Source organism: Homo sapiens, chromosome 1, assembly GCF_000001405.40.
Source record: "Homo sapiens chromosome 1, GRCh38.p14 Primary Assembly".
In the NCBI taxonomy this organism is placed as follows: domain Eukaryota; kingdom Metazoa; phylum Chordata; class Mammalia; order Primates; family Hominidae; genus Homo; species Homo sapiens.
The window spans coordinates 236,965,445-236,982,980 of record NC_000001.11 but is presented as its reverse complement, the minus strand read 5'-3'; the positions used below and the strand labels follow the sequence as shown (position 1 = coordinate 236,982,980).

Genomic DNA, 17,536 nt, shown 5'->3' with positions numbered 1-17,536 from the left:
GTAGTCAAGTCTTAGTACAGAAACTAGTACAAAACTGCTAAGGTAAGAGCTGGGAGGGTAGAATGATGTTGGAGGCTGAGTACAGGGAGAGGAAGAAAAGAGAAACCCAAGAGAATCTGCAAGCCCTTAACATCAGCGATGTGGAGGAAGCTTAATAAACAGTATTTGATGATGATGATGCAGGAACATCAGCGGCATATAACCCCTTGTCACTTTTTCTTTGTACAAAGAATAATCTCTCTCTCAAACACACACACACACACACACACACACATACACACACCTCCCACATGTATTTTTAGCTTCATATCTCAAAGCACTCAACAAGCTTAAAATTCATGTACCAGCCACCTGCAAAGACCATCTTGTACTCACAGAAATGCAGCCTGTCCTAAAACAACAGCTGTTCAGTGCAGGGCAATGCCACAGAGGAGCTCAGGGCAGGACCTGAAGACAAATGACATGGCTGAAGCAGCAGGTGGACTCTAAGTAGCAGGAATATGGGAGCAGATGGTGGAAAATACAGGGAGCAGCAAAAAAGAGCTTCATAATCTCACCTCTTTACCAAAAGTGCCCCGGACTCTGCCCACTGGATCTAGAAAACAAGAAAAGAAAATATTTTAAAAGAAATACACATCACAGTCATCCTGTAACAACAGTAGTCTACATAGAGCCAGCTGCGTCTAGGTGGATGGGTGGTTGGGACTTAGACAGCAGGCACTTATGAGAAAAACAGTTTACATTGTTAGAGTTAGAATTCAGAGGTTATAATAGAATTTGGCTGCAGGTAGTCCCCAGATACTTGGTGTTTTTGTAGTTGTTTAGAGAATTTACCTTTACTGGATCTCAAGTGAACTATGGTGGTGACAATAAACAGGGAATCATTTACAAAAACAAACCAGGATAACATTTAAACCTTTCATTTCGTTCTCATGGGCTTGGAACCTACAGAGATAAGTATGCAGACAAAAGGGCTCAGATTACAGCCCAAAATAAACACAAAAGCTACATCTATCCATTTCCCTCCCTTCCCTTCTCTTTCCCTTCCTTCCTCCCTTCTTCCTTTTTTCTGGGGATGGGGGACAGGGTATCATTCTGTCATCCAGGTTGGAGTGCAGTGAGATGACCACAGCTCACTATAGCCTCCACCTACTGGGCTCAAGCTGTCCTCCCACCTCAGCCTCCCAAGAAGCTAGGACCACAGGCATGCACCACCACACCCGGCTAATTTTTTTTTTCTCAGCCAGCTGTGCTTTATTGACAACGTGCTCCTCAGGCCTTGACCGCGTACTTCCGCAGCAGGCACAGCCGCTCCTTCCACTGCTGCTTCTTGGTCTTCAGGTGCTCCTCGCGCTTGTTGAGCCGGTGGCGCGTGGCGCGTGTCTTCTTAGGCCGCAGGTCCAGGGGCTTGTACTTCTTGCCCTTGTAGAATTTCCTGAGGTTTTCTTTCTGAGTCTGGTTAATAACTGTGAGAAAATGGGCAATGGATTTGTGGACGACTCGGATCTTAGAGAGCTTGGAGGCCGCACCGCCTGTCACTTTGGCGACGCGCAGCTGGGACAGCTCCACCTTCAGGTCATCCAGCTGTTTCCGCAGCTCCTCCTTCTTCTTCCCGTGAAGATCTCGAGCTTTGATCTTGGCCATTGCTGCACAGGCCGCCGACGCCGACCCCTATTCCCACACCTGGCTAATTTTTTAATGTTTTGTACAGGTGGGATCTCACTGTGTTGCCCAGGCTGGTCTCGAACTCCTGGACTCAAGCGAACTACTCTCACCTCAGCCTCCAAAAGTGCTGGGATTACAGACATGAGCCACTGCACCCAGGCTTCCCTTCTTTCCACAAACATGTTTTTATTATATTTTTTCTTGGGCTTCCACGAAGTTGGATAAATATATCTCTTTTTGGAACAGGAAAGTGCATGCTAAAAATATCAGATGATTTTTCTCATTTTGATTTTTTTTAAATATTGCACTAAAGACATTGGAAAAACAGTAAAGGAAAGAAACTGGTTCAGAGCCACATCACTCCATCAGCTGCCTGTCTTTATTCGTTCTTGTTTCCTTTCAACCCTTGTCTGTGGAATTGAACGCATTGCATGGAAAGAGTCACGTGATAGGTGTAGTTTTTCTCCTCTGCGTTTTTCACTTAATTCTGATCTTCACCTCTTTTCTTGTCGCAGCAGCTCTCCTTTGCCATTCACACTAGAGCATAAACTGGGAGAAAGTAGGAATTTGGGCTGCTTTGTTTACTGTTTCATTCTTCAATACAGCGCTTGGCATATTAGAAGCATTCAATAAATATTTGTTGAATGCATCATCTTCATAATTCTACTTGTTAACAATGGCTTAGATTCCATTAAGTAGACCACAGGGTTACTGCTGTTGAAGGTTTAGTTTGCTTCCAACTCTTCACTTGCATATGTACAACAAAATAATAGCCATCACCGTACATACAGATTTTTTCCTTCATTTTACTTTATTTTATTATTTTATTTTATTTTTTGAGATGGAGTCTCTCCCTGCTGCCCAGGCTGGAGCACAGTGGTGCAATCTCGGCTCACTGCAGCCTCTGCCTCCTGGGTTCAAGTGATTCTCGTGCTTCAGCCTCCCGAGTAGCTGGGATTACAGGCGCCCACCACCACATCAGGCTAGTTTTTGTATTTTTAGTAGAGCTGGTTTCTCCATGTTTGCCAGGCTGGTCTCAAACTCCTGACCTCAAGTGATCCACCAGCCTCGGCCTCCCAAAATGCTGGGATTACAGATGTGAGCCACCATGACTGGCTTCCTTCATTTTAGCTATTTCCTTTATTTTAGTTATTTCCTTAATTGAAATCTCAAGGATGGGGTCCATGGTTGAAGTGGTCTTACACTTTCATGCATCATAATATATGTTTCCAAACTACTTTCCAGAAAGGAAACTACTTTCCAACATAGACTGCTGCTAGCGAAGCCCACCCGAGCGCATTATCAGACAGCTTTCCAGCTGACTGTGAGGGGTGGGGACCAGGCACGGGACCAGATGGCAAGCAATGACAAGAGGATCCGTTTGTAAATCCTGGGAACTCTCGCTGCCTTCCATCTCCTGCTTTCCTCTGGTGTCCTTGTACCCAGATGCTTCCTTCAAGTCATCTCCTCTCTCTTATTTGGTTTAAATTAAGAGTAAGCTAGGAGCTGGAGCTCGTCTCAGTGCCAATTCTGACAGGAAGTTGGACAGCCGAGATGCCTTGTGGAGCTCTTGGATTCCATGTGGGCCGAACGCAACCTTCACACATCTGCAGCCTCCATCTGCTGCTTCATCACAGGACATCATCCTCTGTCCAGGCATTGCTTAGTTTGCACAAGACGTGTCTGTGTAAAAATGCTTCACCACTCACTCCTCCGCAGCTGCCTCTGCTGAGCCACACAGCGCCCATCGCTCTACATCTATTGGGAGCACACAGGGCATCATCCCATGGAGGAAATTCACACAGAACTTACAGGGCAACTACATCTATGAGCTGCCAGTGTTATCCCACATGTGCTCATTGAAAGGAATTGTAGAAAAGATATTGGACGTCCTTGTCGGAAGCCCTTGTTCTATTTCCGGCTCTGAGAAGCTGCAAAACCTTGGATGAATCACTCACTGCCTGCAGTCCTCAGTCTCCCTCTCTACCAAAGAAGGAGAAGAACAGCTGTTCTTGCATCTCACATGGTGGTGGTGAGAATCGAATGAAACACTGTGCATGAACGCTCTGCAAACTGTGAAGTGCTGTGAGATATAGAGCACTGGTATTATCATTTGAATGCCAATTCTGAAGTACCCAGAGAGCAAATGGGTGACAGAGGCCATGGTTTGCTTTCCCCACAGCCATTCTACACCTCTTTCAAGGCCAGTTGTGTTCATGTCGCATCTGGCTTTATGTCCGGCGCCCAGGAATGAATCACGGTTGAGCTAAATGAATCACGGAAATCTCATTCCTTCTTTGCTCCTTTGAGGCAGGCATGTGATTCAACAGAGATCCAGAACACTTGGGGAAAGATACTCCTCCGTGATAGAAGGAGAGAGCTCTCCCCGCCTCCTAGCTTGGACGTTGTCTTGTGAGGACTTGGTGCTATGTGCTGCAGCTGCACAGAGCTGGCACCAGAAAAAGGAAAGCCAAGAGCAGCCGATCGCGGGCCCTGACGCCGTGGAAACAGTACATGAACCACCTCTGGGACTGCCAATCTCCAGACTTCTGATGTGCGATTTGTGAGTAAAATTTTGTGGCTTACATCAGACATTCTCCTACCTAAAGGCACAAAGGGGAGAAACAATGGGTGATGGAAACGATCAAGTCTTACCAGTGGATGAAATTGAACAAGTTTTTCCAGCAGGCTCAATTCCTTGCCCTCTTGTCTCCGTCGGCTTTGCTTTATTGTGGTTCACTTCTTTTTTTTTTTTTTTTTTTTTTTTTTTTTTTTTTGAGACGGAGTCTCGCTCTCGCCCAGGCTGGAGTGCAGTGGCGTGATCTCTGCTCACTGCAGGCTCCGCCTCCTGGGTTCACGCCATTCTCCTGCCTCAGCCTCCCCAGCAGCTGGGACTACAGGCGCCCGCCACCTCGCCCGGCTAATTTTTTGTATTTTTAGTAGAGACGGGGTTTCACCGTGTTAGCCAGGATGGTATCGATCTCCTGACCTCGTGATCCGCCTGCCTCAGCCTCCCAAAGTGCTGGGATTACAGGCGTGAGCCACCGCTCCCAGCCTGTGGTTCACTTCTTAGATTGCAGCAAGCGGCTGGGCGTGGTGGCTCATGCCTATAATCCCAGCACTTTGGGAAGCTGAGGTGGGAGGATCACTTGAGCCCAGGAGTTTGAGACCAACCTGGCAACATAGTGAGACTGTATCTCGACAAAAAATTTAAAAATTAGCTGAGTGTGGGGGCACATACCTGTAGTCCCAGCTACTAGGGAGGCTGAGGTGGGAGGATCACTTGATCCCAGGAGGTTGAGGCTGCAGTGAGCTGTGATTGTGTCACTGCACTCAAGCCTGGGTAACTCTGTCTCAAAAATTAACTAATTAATTAATTAATTGCAGCAGTTAGTAAACTTCTGAGGCAAAACAAAAATGGTAAATGAATTTAAAAGTAAGTGGCTACAAGGAAATGAATTAAAATATGAGGAATGTGTGATTACGTGAACAGCGGGCACTGAGGACAGGCAATGGGCCAGGAGAGCTACCCCCACCAGCATCAGGAAGCTGAGACAGAGAAGGGAGCGGGCACAGGACTGCAGAGGTGGGTAAAGGGGAGTCCACGACTTCCAAGGGAAAAACTCCAAGGAAAAGCCTCCACTTGGAATGTGTCACCCAGCTCTCTGTCTGGACAAATGCAACTCCTTAGTCCCATGATCAGCCAAACATTTTGTCTTTCTTTCCATAAAAGTTATTGCTATGGCCTGAATGTGTCCCCCAAAATTCCTATGTTGAAACGTAATCACCAGTGTGATAGTAGTATTAAGAGGTGGGGCCTTTAGGAGGTGATTAAGTCATCCCCGTGACTAGTGGGATTAGTGCCCTTGTCAAAGAGGTTGAAGGAAGCACCACAGTCCCCGTCACCCCTTTTGCCATCTGAAGATGCAGCAAGAGACACCATCTTGGAAGTGGAGAAGAAGCCCTCACCAGACACCAAACCCGCTGGCACCTTGATCTTGGACTTCACAGCCTCCAGAATTGTGAAAAAATAAATTTATATTGTGACATTTGTATAAATGACCCAGTCTGTGGTCTTTTGTCATAGCAGCAGGAATATACCAAGATAGTTATCAACTGAGCTTTTTGTTTTGTTTAATTTTGGGCCTTAAATGCGAGGCACTGTACCAGGCATAGTCCTCGGTTCGTGACACATAATCACGATCAGTCCTTACGTAGCCCGTCTTTTACTTTCATTATTTATTTTTATTGCATAACAAACGCTGCTAAGCCAGCCTCACTCAAGAATTAAAAATTTACCACGGATATACGTCTCCCTACGTGCTCACCACTATCCCATGTCCCTGCTTGCCTTTTTTTTTTTTTTTTTTTTTTTTTTGAGATGGAGTCTCGCTCTGTTGCCCAGGCTGGAGGGCAATGGTGCGACCTCGGCTCACCGCAACCTCCGCCTCCCGGGTTCAAATGATTCTTCTGCCTCAGCCCCCCGAGTAGCTGGGATTACAGGCACCCACCACCACGCCAGCTAATTTTTGTATTTTTAGTAGAGATGGGGTTTCACCATGTTGGCCAGGCTGGTCTCGAACTCCCGACCTGATGACCTGCCGGCCTCAGCCTCCCGAAGTGTTGGGATTACAGGCATGAGCCATCACAGCTGGCCTATCCCTGCTTGCCTCTTGAAGGGAGTTAATACTTTGAATTTTGTGTTTATCATTCTGATCCTTTTTTGGTTTTGGTTTTGGTTTATCCTGTACATACGTATGTCTAACCAATATATTGCTTAATTTTGCTTGTTACTTAACATTTCATGGCTAAAATTCATCCAAGTTATTGAACGTGGCTGGAGTTACTTTCCCGTTGTGTAGATATACCATAATTTATTTGTCTATTCTCTTGTCAAAGGACATTTTTTTTCCATTCTTCCCTGTATAGAACAAGAATTCTGTGAACATTCTTGTATATTATCTTGGTGCACATGTGCTAAAGAGTCTCTTGGATATTTACCTAGAAGTAGAATATCAAATAGGCAAATATTCAATTAGACAGAATACTACCAAATTATTTTCCAAAGCGATTGTGCTACTTTAGTTTCTCATTGGTAATATGTAGGAGATCCCACTGATCATTTGATCTCTAATACTTGGTATTGGCAGACTTCATTTAATAATCGCATGGGTATAAAATGGTCTTCAATTGTGCAGATGCTGTACAGTCTCCTGTGGTTTAATGTCTTTTTGTATATTTATTGGCCATATGTGGTTCCTCTTCTGTGAAATGCATTTATCTGGTTTTTGCTCATTTTTCTATATTGAGTTGTCTTTTTTCTAGTGATATGTAGAAACTCTTTATTATTCTTGAGTGATCTTTGTTGGTTATTTGTGTTGCAAATATCCTTTCTCTCATCTCTCCGAAGGACATACAATTATTCTCAGAAACAATTTATTCTGAATACATATTGAAGAAAACTTGAGATGAAGATGAGAAGGGATGAAGAGCTCCAAAGCCCACCCTCAACATTCCTGACAAAACCTGGGACTTTGGGAAACGGACCATGGCAAGTGATTTTGTACCGAGATTGCTGATGGGAAGAGAAGTGGGGAATACTAAACAGAAACCAATCTTCATGGAAACAGGGACAGGAGAGGGTGTTGACAACGGGAGGGTAAAAACCAGACTGCTCTCATGAAAGCAAAGAGGGTTGACTGTGAGTTAAAGCGGCAGGCTACCTTGTGTTCGTTTATTTTCTTTTTATTTTTATGTTCATTTTTAAAGACTTTTAATCTGAACACTTCCAGGTTTACAGCAAAATTGAGAAGATGGTACAGAGCATTCCTGTATACCCCACCCGCAGTTTCCCCTATTATCAACATCTTACACTAGTAGGGTACATTTGTTAGAATTAATGAACCAATATTGATGCATCAGTATTAGCTAAAGTCCACAGTTTAGTCAGATATCCTTACTGTATACCTTTTTCTGTTTCAATATCCCATCCAGGAGTCCACATTACATTTAGCTGTCATGTCTCCTTAGGCTCGTCTTAGTTGTGACAGTTTCTCAGACTTCCCTTGTTTTTGATGGCCTTGCAAGATTTGTGTGTGTGTCTGTGTGTGTGTGTGTGTTTTATTATTTTTTTCTTTTTTTGAGACGGAGCCTCGCTCTGTCGCCCAGGCTGTAGTGCAGTGGCATGATCTCTGCTCACTGCAACCTCCGCCTCCTGGGTTCAAACGATTCTCCTGCCTCAGCCTTCCTAGTAGCTGGGACTACAAGCGTGCACCACCATGCCCGGCTAATTTCTGTATTTTTAGTAGAGATGAAGTTTCACCATATTGGCCAGGCTGGTCTTGAACTCCTGACCTCGTGATCCACCTGACTCGGCCTCCCAAAGTGCTGGGAATACAGGCGTGAGCCACGGTGCTTGGCCTTTTTTTTTTTTTTTTTTTAATTGAGACGGGGTCCTGCTCTGTCACCCAGGCTGGAGTGCAATGTGCAATCATAGCTCACTGCAGCCTCAACCTCCCAGGCTCAATCGAACCTCCCACCTCAGCCTCCTAAGCAGCTGGGACCACAGGCGTGCACTACCACACTCAGCTAATTTTCTAATTATTTGTAGAGACAGTGTCTCACTATGTTGCCCAAGCTGGTCTTGAACTTCTGGGCTCAAGTGTTCCTCCCACCTTGGCCTCCCAAAGTGCTGGGATTACAGGTGAGAGTCACTGTGCCCAGCCAATCTTGACAGCTTTGAGGAGTACTGGTCAGGTGTTTTGTAGGATGCCTTGTATTGTAATTTGCCTGCTGTTTTTAATCATGATTAGACTGGAGTGATGGGTTTTTGAAGGGAAGAGCACAGAGACAAAGTGCCATTGTCATCACATGGTATCCAGGTGTATCTGTTTCCTAGGCCTGCAGGAAAAAAGTACCACAAACTGGAATGGCTTGAAACAAGAAATTTATTCTCTCACAGTTCTGGAGGCCAGAAGTCCAAAATCAAGGTGTCAGTAGGGCTATGCTCTCTGAACCCTCTAGGGGAAGATCCTTCCTTGCCCTTTACAGCTTCTGGTAGCCCCAGGCGTGCCTTGGCGTCTAGTCCCATAACTCCACACTCTGCCGCCACCCTCAGGTGGCTGGCCTTCTTCCCTCTCTGTGCATGACTTTCTTCTTTTTTTTTTTTTTCTGAGACAGAGTCTTGCTCTGTTGCCCAGGCTGGAGTGCAGTGGCACAATCTCAGCTCACTGCAACCTCCGCCTCCCAGGTCCAAGCAATTCTCCTGCCTCAGCCTCCCGAGTTTCTGGGATTACTGGCGGATGCCATCACACCTGGCTAATATTTGTATTTTCAGTAGAGACGGGGTTTCACCATGTTGGCCAGGCTGGTCTCAAACTCCTGACCTCAGGTGATCCCCCCACCTTGGCCTCCCAAAGTGCTGGTATTACAGGCATGAGCCACTGCACCCACCCATCTTTATCTCTTCTTTTATGAGGTGTCTGTTCAGATGTTTTGCTGATTTTTTTAGTTAAGTTGTTTTCTTAAAATTCAGTTTTAAGCGTTGTTTGGTACATTTTGGATACCAGTCATTTATCAGATATGTGTTTGGCAAATACAATCTCTCAGTCTGTAGCTTGCCTTTCCATCCTCTTAATAGCATCTTTTTCAGAGAGGAAGTTTTTAATTTTAACTAAGTCCAACTTACCAATTTTTTTCTTTCACGGATCACATTTTTGGTGTACCTCAAAAGTCACTGCCAAACCCAGAGTCACTAGATTTTCTCTTATGTTTTCTTCTTCTCAAACTTTTTTTGTTTTACATTTTGCATATAGGTCTACATATGATATTCTCAGCTGATTTGTGCAAAAGTTGTAAGGTCTGCGTTTAGTTTTGTTTTTGCTTTTGTTTTGCCTGTGGATGTGCAGTTGTTCCAGCACCATCTGTTGAAAAGACTGTCCCTTCTGCATTGAACTACCTCTGCTCGTTTGTTAAAGATTAGTGGACTGTTTGTGTGGGTCTATTTCTGAGCTCTCTTTTCTGTTCCATTGATCTACTTGTCTATTCTTTCACCATAGCACACTGCCCCAATTACTGTAGTTTTGTAATAAGCCTTGAAGTCAGATAGTGTCAGCCCTCTAACTTTGTCTTCTTTTTTAGGATTGTGTTGTTATTATTGGTGTTCTGCCTTCTGTATACATTTTATGATCAGTTTGGTGTTATCCACAAAACAACTTGTAGAATTTTGATTAGGATTGCAAGGAATCTATAGATGAAGCTGGGAAGGACTGACATCTTCACAATATTGAGTCTTCCAATCTATGAACACAGAATATCTCTCCAGTTAGTTTTTTTGTTTGTTTGTTTGTTTGTTTGTTTGTTTGTTTGAGACGGAGTCTCGTTCTGTGGCTCAGGCTGGAGTGCAGCAGCATGATCTCGGCTCACTACAACCTCTGCCTCCCGGGTTGGAGTGATTCTCCTGCCTCAGCCTCTTGAGTAGCTGGGATTATAGGCACACACCACCATGCCCAGCTAATTTTTCTATTTTTAGTAGAGACAGGGTTTCATCATGTTGGCCAGGCTGGTCTCGAACTCCTGACCTTATGATCCGCCCACCTCGGCCTCCCAAAGCGCTGGGATTACAGGTGTGAGCCACCGCGCCCAGCCCAGTTAGTTTTTTATGTGTTATTTTATATTTTTGTCTTGGACTAAAGGAACAAAGAATGAGGTGGAAAGAAGTAGCCACTTCTCAGGAGGTGACTCACTGAGAAAGTGACAGAAGGAAAGGAAAATCCCCCTTTTCAAATACAGTTGAGGAAAATATGCTCACAATTGGAAAGAGTTAGGCCTTAGGGCACAAATTCAAGAAATAAACAAAGAACCAGTAGCTCTTCTGATATTTAGACGAAACATTTATTCTATAAACAGGATTACTTAAGCCTTAAAATCAAAGTGCACAAAGAGATGAAAAATTGAGTGCACATAGAGGTATGTGAAGTGCATAAAGAACTAGGAGTGTAAATCTAAGGTCTCATTTTAAAAAGAGATTAAATAGAAATTTCATTTACTTATCATTAGGTAGGCTAGCAATCCATGACTGCATTCAGCTAAATCTAATTTATCTCAGCAAACTAGGGCGTGGCTGCCACTGACAAAATGAGGAAATTGAAGCAGTTCTTGTTATATTTGGGTCAAAATATAGTTTGATCTCAATTTTCTAGGTCATTCAGGTAGAAGTTATGCCTGGGACGGAATGACTCAGTAACTACCTCATTTCCCTGTTTTCTCTGGTAGAAGATAGTAACATTCTGGTATTTCTCTGAAGAAAACCAAAACATAACTTGGATCAATTTTAGCGTTAGTAATGAGTATATGTTAATTACACTATTCATTTAGTCAATCAACAAGATTGTATTGGGTGCCATGTGCCAAGCACTGTTCTAGGCACAGAAGAGAGAAGTGTTCTGAAGAAAATAAGAGCAAAGTAAAAAGACAGAGATTGGAGGTCCTGTTTGGTATGGGGTGGTAAGGGACAACTTCCTCTATAAGATGACATAGGAGCACATATAACCCTAAAGGATAAAAGAGGCAGAGCCATGTGGGTAGCTGGAGGAAAATGTTTCTAGGCAGAAAAAGGCAGTGCAAAGACAGGAGCATCCTTGGGGCTTCTGAGGAAGAACAAGGAGGCCAGAGTGCTGGGGGCAGGAGACAATGAGGAGGAGATCAAGTTCAAGTGGACACGGGAGCTGGCCAGAGTATGCAGGGCCTGGTTGATCTTGGTGAAGACCATTGGAGAGCTTTGAGCATGAGAGTGAAATAAGCTGATTTCCAAGGGTAATGAAATCAGAAGGCGAGGGGAGAAGCAGACAGACCAGTTAGGAGACTGTTGTGCGGGGTAAGTTCTTTCTGACTTTGGCAAATATACATTCATACGAAGGGCCTCATTTTAAAAAAATGATATCTGAGATAGGAAGATTGCTTGAGGCCAGGAGTTCAAGACGAGTCCGAGCAACATAGCAAGGCCCCATCTCTGTAAAAAGAAAAAATTTTAAGCCATGCCTAAATTACTAGCAGTAGAAAGGTAAGAAGAGATTGGATTAATAATATTTTTTAATGTAGAGACAACAGGATTTGCAAATGGATTGGAAGTGAGGGGTGAGAGAAGATTCAGTCGGAACTCACGGAGTCACGCATGACTCTGTGCAACTTGAGCAGTCAACATCTAAACCCAGGAAGTGGGTTTACCCAAATCACTCCACCTTTATAGCACCTGAGAGGGAATGGGAACCACCCCAGAGAAGACAGCAGCTTAATTGTCTTCTTTGCTATTATAGGCTAGGCATGGTGGCTCATGCCTGTAATCCCAGCACTTTAGGAGGTCAAGGCAAGTGATACACCTGAGGTCATGAGTTTGAGAGCAGCCTGGCCAACATGGTGAAACCCTGTCTCCACTAAAAATACAAAAATTAACCGGGCGTAGTGACAGGCGCCTGTAATACCAGCTACTCAGGAGGCTAAGGCAGGAGAGTCACTTGAGCCCGGGAGGCGGAGGATGCAGTGAGACAAGATCACGCCACCGCACTTTGGCCTGGGCAACAGTGAGACTCCGTATCAAAAAAAAAAAATTATTTTAGAAATGTTTAGAAATATATATGTCTATTTTAGAAAATGTGGAAAATAGAGAAAGAAGAAAAATAAAAATAACCACCTTTCCACCTCTGAGCAAGGGTAAACCACTACTGATAGTCAATGTAAGTTCTTTTTTTTTTTTTTTTTTTTTTGAGATGGAGTCTCACTCTGTTGCCCAGTTTGGAGTGCAGTGGTGTAATCTTGGCTCACTGCAACCCTGCCTCCCGGGTTCAATTAATTGTCTTGCCTCAGCCTCCCAAGTAGCTGGGATTACAGGCATGTGCCACCAAATCTGGCTAATTTTTATATTTTTAGTAGAGACAGGGTTTCACCATGCTGGCCAGGCTGCTCTCGATCTCCTGACCTCAGGTGATCCACTCACCTCGGCCTCCCAAAGTGCTGGGATTACAGGCATGAGCCACTGCGCCTGGCCTCTATAAAATATTTTTTAAAAATTAGCTGGGCATGGTGGCAGAGGCAGGAGGATCACCTGAGCCCAGGAGTATGAGGCTGCAGTGGGCTATGATCACACTACTGCACTCCAGCCTGGGCAACGGAGCAAGACCAAAACCAAAACCAAACAAAATAAAATATAAAACTCACATAAGTTTGCTATGGTTTCATCCCCAATGCAGCAATATTGAGAGGGAGGGCCTTTAAAAGGTGATTGAGTCATGAGGGCTCTGCCCTCATTAGATGGATTGATCTATGCATGAATTAATGGGTTAATGGGTTAATGGTTATCATGGGAGTGAGACTAGTGGCTTTAGTAAGAAGAGGAAGAGAGACCTGAGTTAGCACACTAGCACACTCAGTCCCCTCACCATGTGACACCCTGCACCACCTAGGGATGCTGCAGAGAGTCCCCACCAGCAAGAAGGCTCTCACATATGTGGCCACTCGACTTTGGACTTCTCAGCCTCCATAACTGTAAGGAATAAATTTCTTGGAGGATGGGAAGTCCAAGGTCAAGACGCCACAAATGGTAGGGGCCTTCTTGCTGATGGGGACTCTCTACAGGGTCCCAAAGTGGCACAGGGTGTCATATAGTTAGGGGGCTGAGTGTACTAGCTCAGACCTAGCTCAGGCCTCTCTTCCTGTTCTTATAAAACCACAGATTCCCTCCTGTGATAACGCACTAATCCATTAACCCATCAATCCATGAATGGATTAATCCACTCATGAGGGCAGGTCCCTCAGAACCCAGTCACGTGCTAATGGCGCCAACTCTCAATACTGCCACATTGGGGATTAAATTTCAAACATGAGTTTTGAAGCCCACAACATGTAAACCATAGCACTGAGTAATTACTGGCAATGCTGGCTTGTGTTCCAGCACCTTCAAGGATCAATAAGCCAACACGTTACTGCTGTATGTGTTAGACTTTCTGCAGCCCAGTCTTTCTCTATCATCCTCTTAGCTTACATCCTTCTTGGCTGACCCCAGTAACCCACACAAGCCCTCTAGGTTGTGCCTCCATGGCCAGACAAGAGTCTCTCTGTTTGGGAATCTAGTCCTTTGGGAGGATTAAAGTGGATGGAGAATGGAGCATCGGCTTGCATGAAGACATCCAGGCCCCACAGAAAGATCTTCTTTGGGAATCAAGAGGCCGAGAGGGAATGGAGTTTTCTTAAATAACAGAGATCTAGAGCAATAGGATACTAAATGCCAAGATTGGAATCCTCCTTAAAAGACCTCTGTGGCCTAGCTTTGAAAAGGACCATATGCTTTGGGAAAAGGCTGCATCTCAGCAGTGCAAAAGCAGACTAAAACCAGAAGGTCCTTGTGGGAGCCCAAAATATGGGTTCCAGAGAGACATCCACGTCAGCCCCCTGGAACTTTTGCATGTTACCTTATTGGAAAAAAGGGTCTTTGCCGATGTGGTTGAGGACCTTGAGATGAGGGATAAATGTAGATTCTCTTGGTGAGCCCTAAATTCCATCGCAAGTATCCTCATAAGAGAAAAGAAGAGAAGACAGACAGAAAAAAAGTAGACACAGAGAAGGTGAATATGAAGAAAGAGACCGGAAGGATACAAGCCAAGGAATGTCAAGGAATGCCAACAACCATCAGAAGCTAGAAGATGCAAGGAAGAAGTCTGCCCTAGAGGCTTCGGAGAGAGTGGAGTCCTGCTGACACCTTGATGTATGACTTCTGGCCACAAGGACAGTGAGAGAATACATATTTGCTGTCTTAAGCCACCAAGCTGGTATTAATTTGCTATAGCAGCCACAGGACACTAATACAGTCCCCCTTCAAATTTTCTGAAATGTGTATGTCTTAACCCCCAAGAACTCTTAAGTGATTTTATGAGATGGTAGCCCTTCCTCCCCTCACCTCGACTCCGACACCTCCATCCCCCAGAACATGATTGAGATTAAATTACTCAAAATTATGCTAAGTGAGATTTAGAGCTAAATCTCAATCTAATTTTTAATAATAAAGCTAGGTACATTTTCTTGCACCTAATGATTGTGGAATCTATCCTGCCCTGTACTACAAATTGGTGGTCCCGGCCAGGCTTCTCCTCCCCTCTTGTCATTGTCCCTGACTCCATGGCTGCCAGGAATCCCAGAGGGAAGGACTTTAGAAGCATTGGGGCATGCTTCCTTTGCCCTTCCCAGGAACTTAAGGCAGTGTACCCCATCCTCAGAGGACCCCCCACATAGTAAGGCTTTCAACATAGGCACAGTGGCTCACACCTGTAATCCCAGCACTTTGGGAGGCCGAAGCAGGTGGATCACTTGAGGTCAAGAGTTCGAGACCAGCCTGGCCAACTGGTGAAACCCCATCTCTACTAAAAATACAATAATTAGCCAAGTGTCTTGGTGCATGCCTGTAATCCCAGCTACTTGAGAGGTTGAGGCAGGAGAATCGCTTGAACCTGGGAGGTGGAGGTTGCAGTGAGCTGAGATTTGCACTCCAGCCTAGGCAACAGAGGGAGACTGTCAAAAAAAAAAAAAAAAAAAAAAAAAAGCAGCTCTATCCCACCTTGGTTCCACATTCTCACATTCTCAAAGCATGTAATCTCACTAGCACTTTCCCCACTTTCCACTCCAATCCAATACGGTCTAGAGAGAGCACTGGGAGTTTCAGTGCTTGAACCATGATGCAACCCCTGAGTAAAACCTTCCTAATTTACTCATTGGTCACCATCCCGCCTGCTCCCTCCGCAAGGATCTTTTCAGCATTGATGCATTCCACACAGAATTAACAACTAGATTAGTTTTTGTAGTTTCCTCCTCTCTTGTTATTTATTGTCCAATGAACACCAAGCTCCCTCATCTTTTGTAGTCTGCTTTTGATGTCCCTAGTGTTGGGGACCCCATTGAGTTCAGCACCCTCCATCCCTAGTCTGCTGCGGACCCTCTTGCCTGGGTATTCTCCATGTAATGCCAAGTCAGCCTCACCCTGAGGCCAGCCTCAGCAGCAGCCTCATTACACTCAGCTGAAACTTCATTTCTCATTTTAATTCCTTTGAACCAAGCGGCTTCCCTCTCCCTCCTCGTATCTAACTGGCTTTTTCCTGATGGAAAAAAATCATGACTAAATTCCAAGCCCTTCTCACTCTCTGGAGTTCTTTAGCCAATCCTACTAGGAGATCAGAAAACTTAATAATTTTCTACTCACTGACGGAGCTTTAACTCTTCCTGAGCAAGTGATATTGAAAAAATGACAATTTGAATGAATATGCCTTTCCTCCTATAAGCACAAAGCTCTTAAAACTGATGTGGGAAAAATTAATATGGGATGAGAGAAGGGCGTGCCTGATACAGATCAAAGTACCTCGACTTTCCTCTCTCCTAACCAGGAAGGTCAAATACGGAGGGCTCTATAAAGAAGGCAGAGAACAAAGACAGCCCTTTTTCTTGATGTGTAACAAACACCATTTACATAAGATAACTGTGCACAGTACAGTTTGCTAGGAATTCAAGAGTTAGGACAGAAGTTCACCCTGTAACGCAGTTTGGCAGATCATCTGGGTTAGAATATTAGACTCACCGGCTCTGCAGAGCTCTCGGCTCCTCCCACCATTGATGATCTTTTTGATTTGGCCTCCAGCATTCTGCCATTTTTCTGAGCCCCTTCTTTCTCGCTAGACTTCCTTCTCTCTCCTTCCTAAATACCCCCATGAGCTCTCAGAGACATGTCTCTGCAACTCCCTTTTGACCTATCCAGCCATATTCTGAGGGCTAACATTCCAAAAGGCCAAATGGTTTCTTACATGTTTGCTGAATAATATTTCCTCCCCTAAAAGGAATTCTGCCCCCAGATCTTGAATGGTGCAACCATGGCTCACTGCAGCCTCGACCTCCCAAGCTCAAGCTATTCTCCCATCTCAGCCTCCCACGTAGCTAGGACTACAAGGTGTGCCACCATGCCTGGCTAATTTTTAAATTTCCTGTAGAGACGGGGACTCGCTATGATGTCAGGGCTGGTTTTGAACTCCCGGGCTCAAGTGATTTGCCCACTGTGGCCTCCCAAAGTGTTGGGATTACAGGTGTGGGGCCGCCACACCCAGCACCATCCTTTCTCACGCTTTTATATTTGTAGAATACAGAATCTCCTTCTCCCGGGTGATCTAAGCTGTGAGATGTAAAGGTGATAGTAGAAAATGGAATTTCTTGTGTTTTCACTGTGAACTCTCCTCACTAATGTTTCCCAGATGAGCCCTGTTTTGTAAGGAAGAGGAGACAGCTAGACTGACACCTGACCTGCGGGGCCCTCCCACCCTCTCATCCACCTGGCAGAGGGGCAGAGGGCAGAGAGAATCCCATTGAGCATGAGAATCCTGGGAAGGAAGAAAGGAAGGGGGAGTGGGAGGGAGGGAGGGAGGAAGGAAGGAAGGAAGAAAGGAAGAAAGGAAGGGAGGGAAGGAGGAAAAGAAGAAAAAAGGAGGAAGAGAGGGAGGGAGGGAGGGAGGGAGGGAGGATGTGTCAGTGGTCTTCTGGGCTGTACCCAGGGTCTAGGATGGAATCTGCAGAACCAATGCTCCCTGAATACCTGCTGGCTGGTGAATGAAAGGATGGAAGATCATGAAACACTGAAGCATTAGGAACAGCCATGATAATTGTTCAAAAAGTTACGTTGGCAAGTGATCACCACTTCCTCACTCCACTCTTGCCTTAAGACAAAATAATAATTATTCTTAATAGGAATGATCAATAGTTCATTAGTTTTACCAACGCATTTCACTGATATGGTTGTTTACCAGTCGTTGATATGCTCCACTCCTAACTCCAGGCTTACTTTGCTTCTTGT

The 17,536-nt window shown here is 44.9% G+C and overlaps 1 long non-coding RNA gene and 1 pseudogene across 1 annotated transcript in view; both read right to left on the bottom strand.

Moving 5' to 3' along the window:
* Positions 1–17,536, bottom strand: part of LOC124904563 (uncharacterized) — a 39,144-nt gene continuing 21,608 nt past the window's right edge. The window contains exons 2-3 of the long non-coding RNA XR_007066964.1: positions 558–595; positions 1–447 (exon numbers count right to left, since the gene is read on the bottom strand). This is a non-coding gene — a long non-coding RNA (uncharacterized LOC124904563). The remainder of the gene's footprint in view (positions 448–557; positions 596–17,536) is intronic.
* On the bottom strand, positions 1,238–1,672 carry RPL35P1 (ribosomal protein L35 pseudogene 1; annotated as a pseudogene).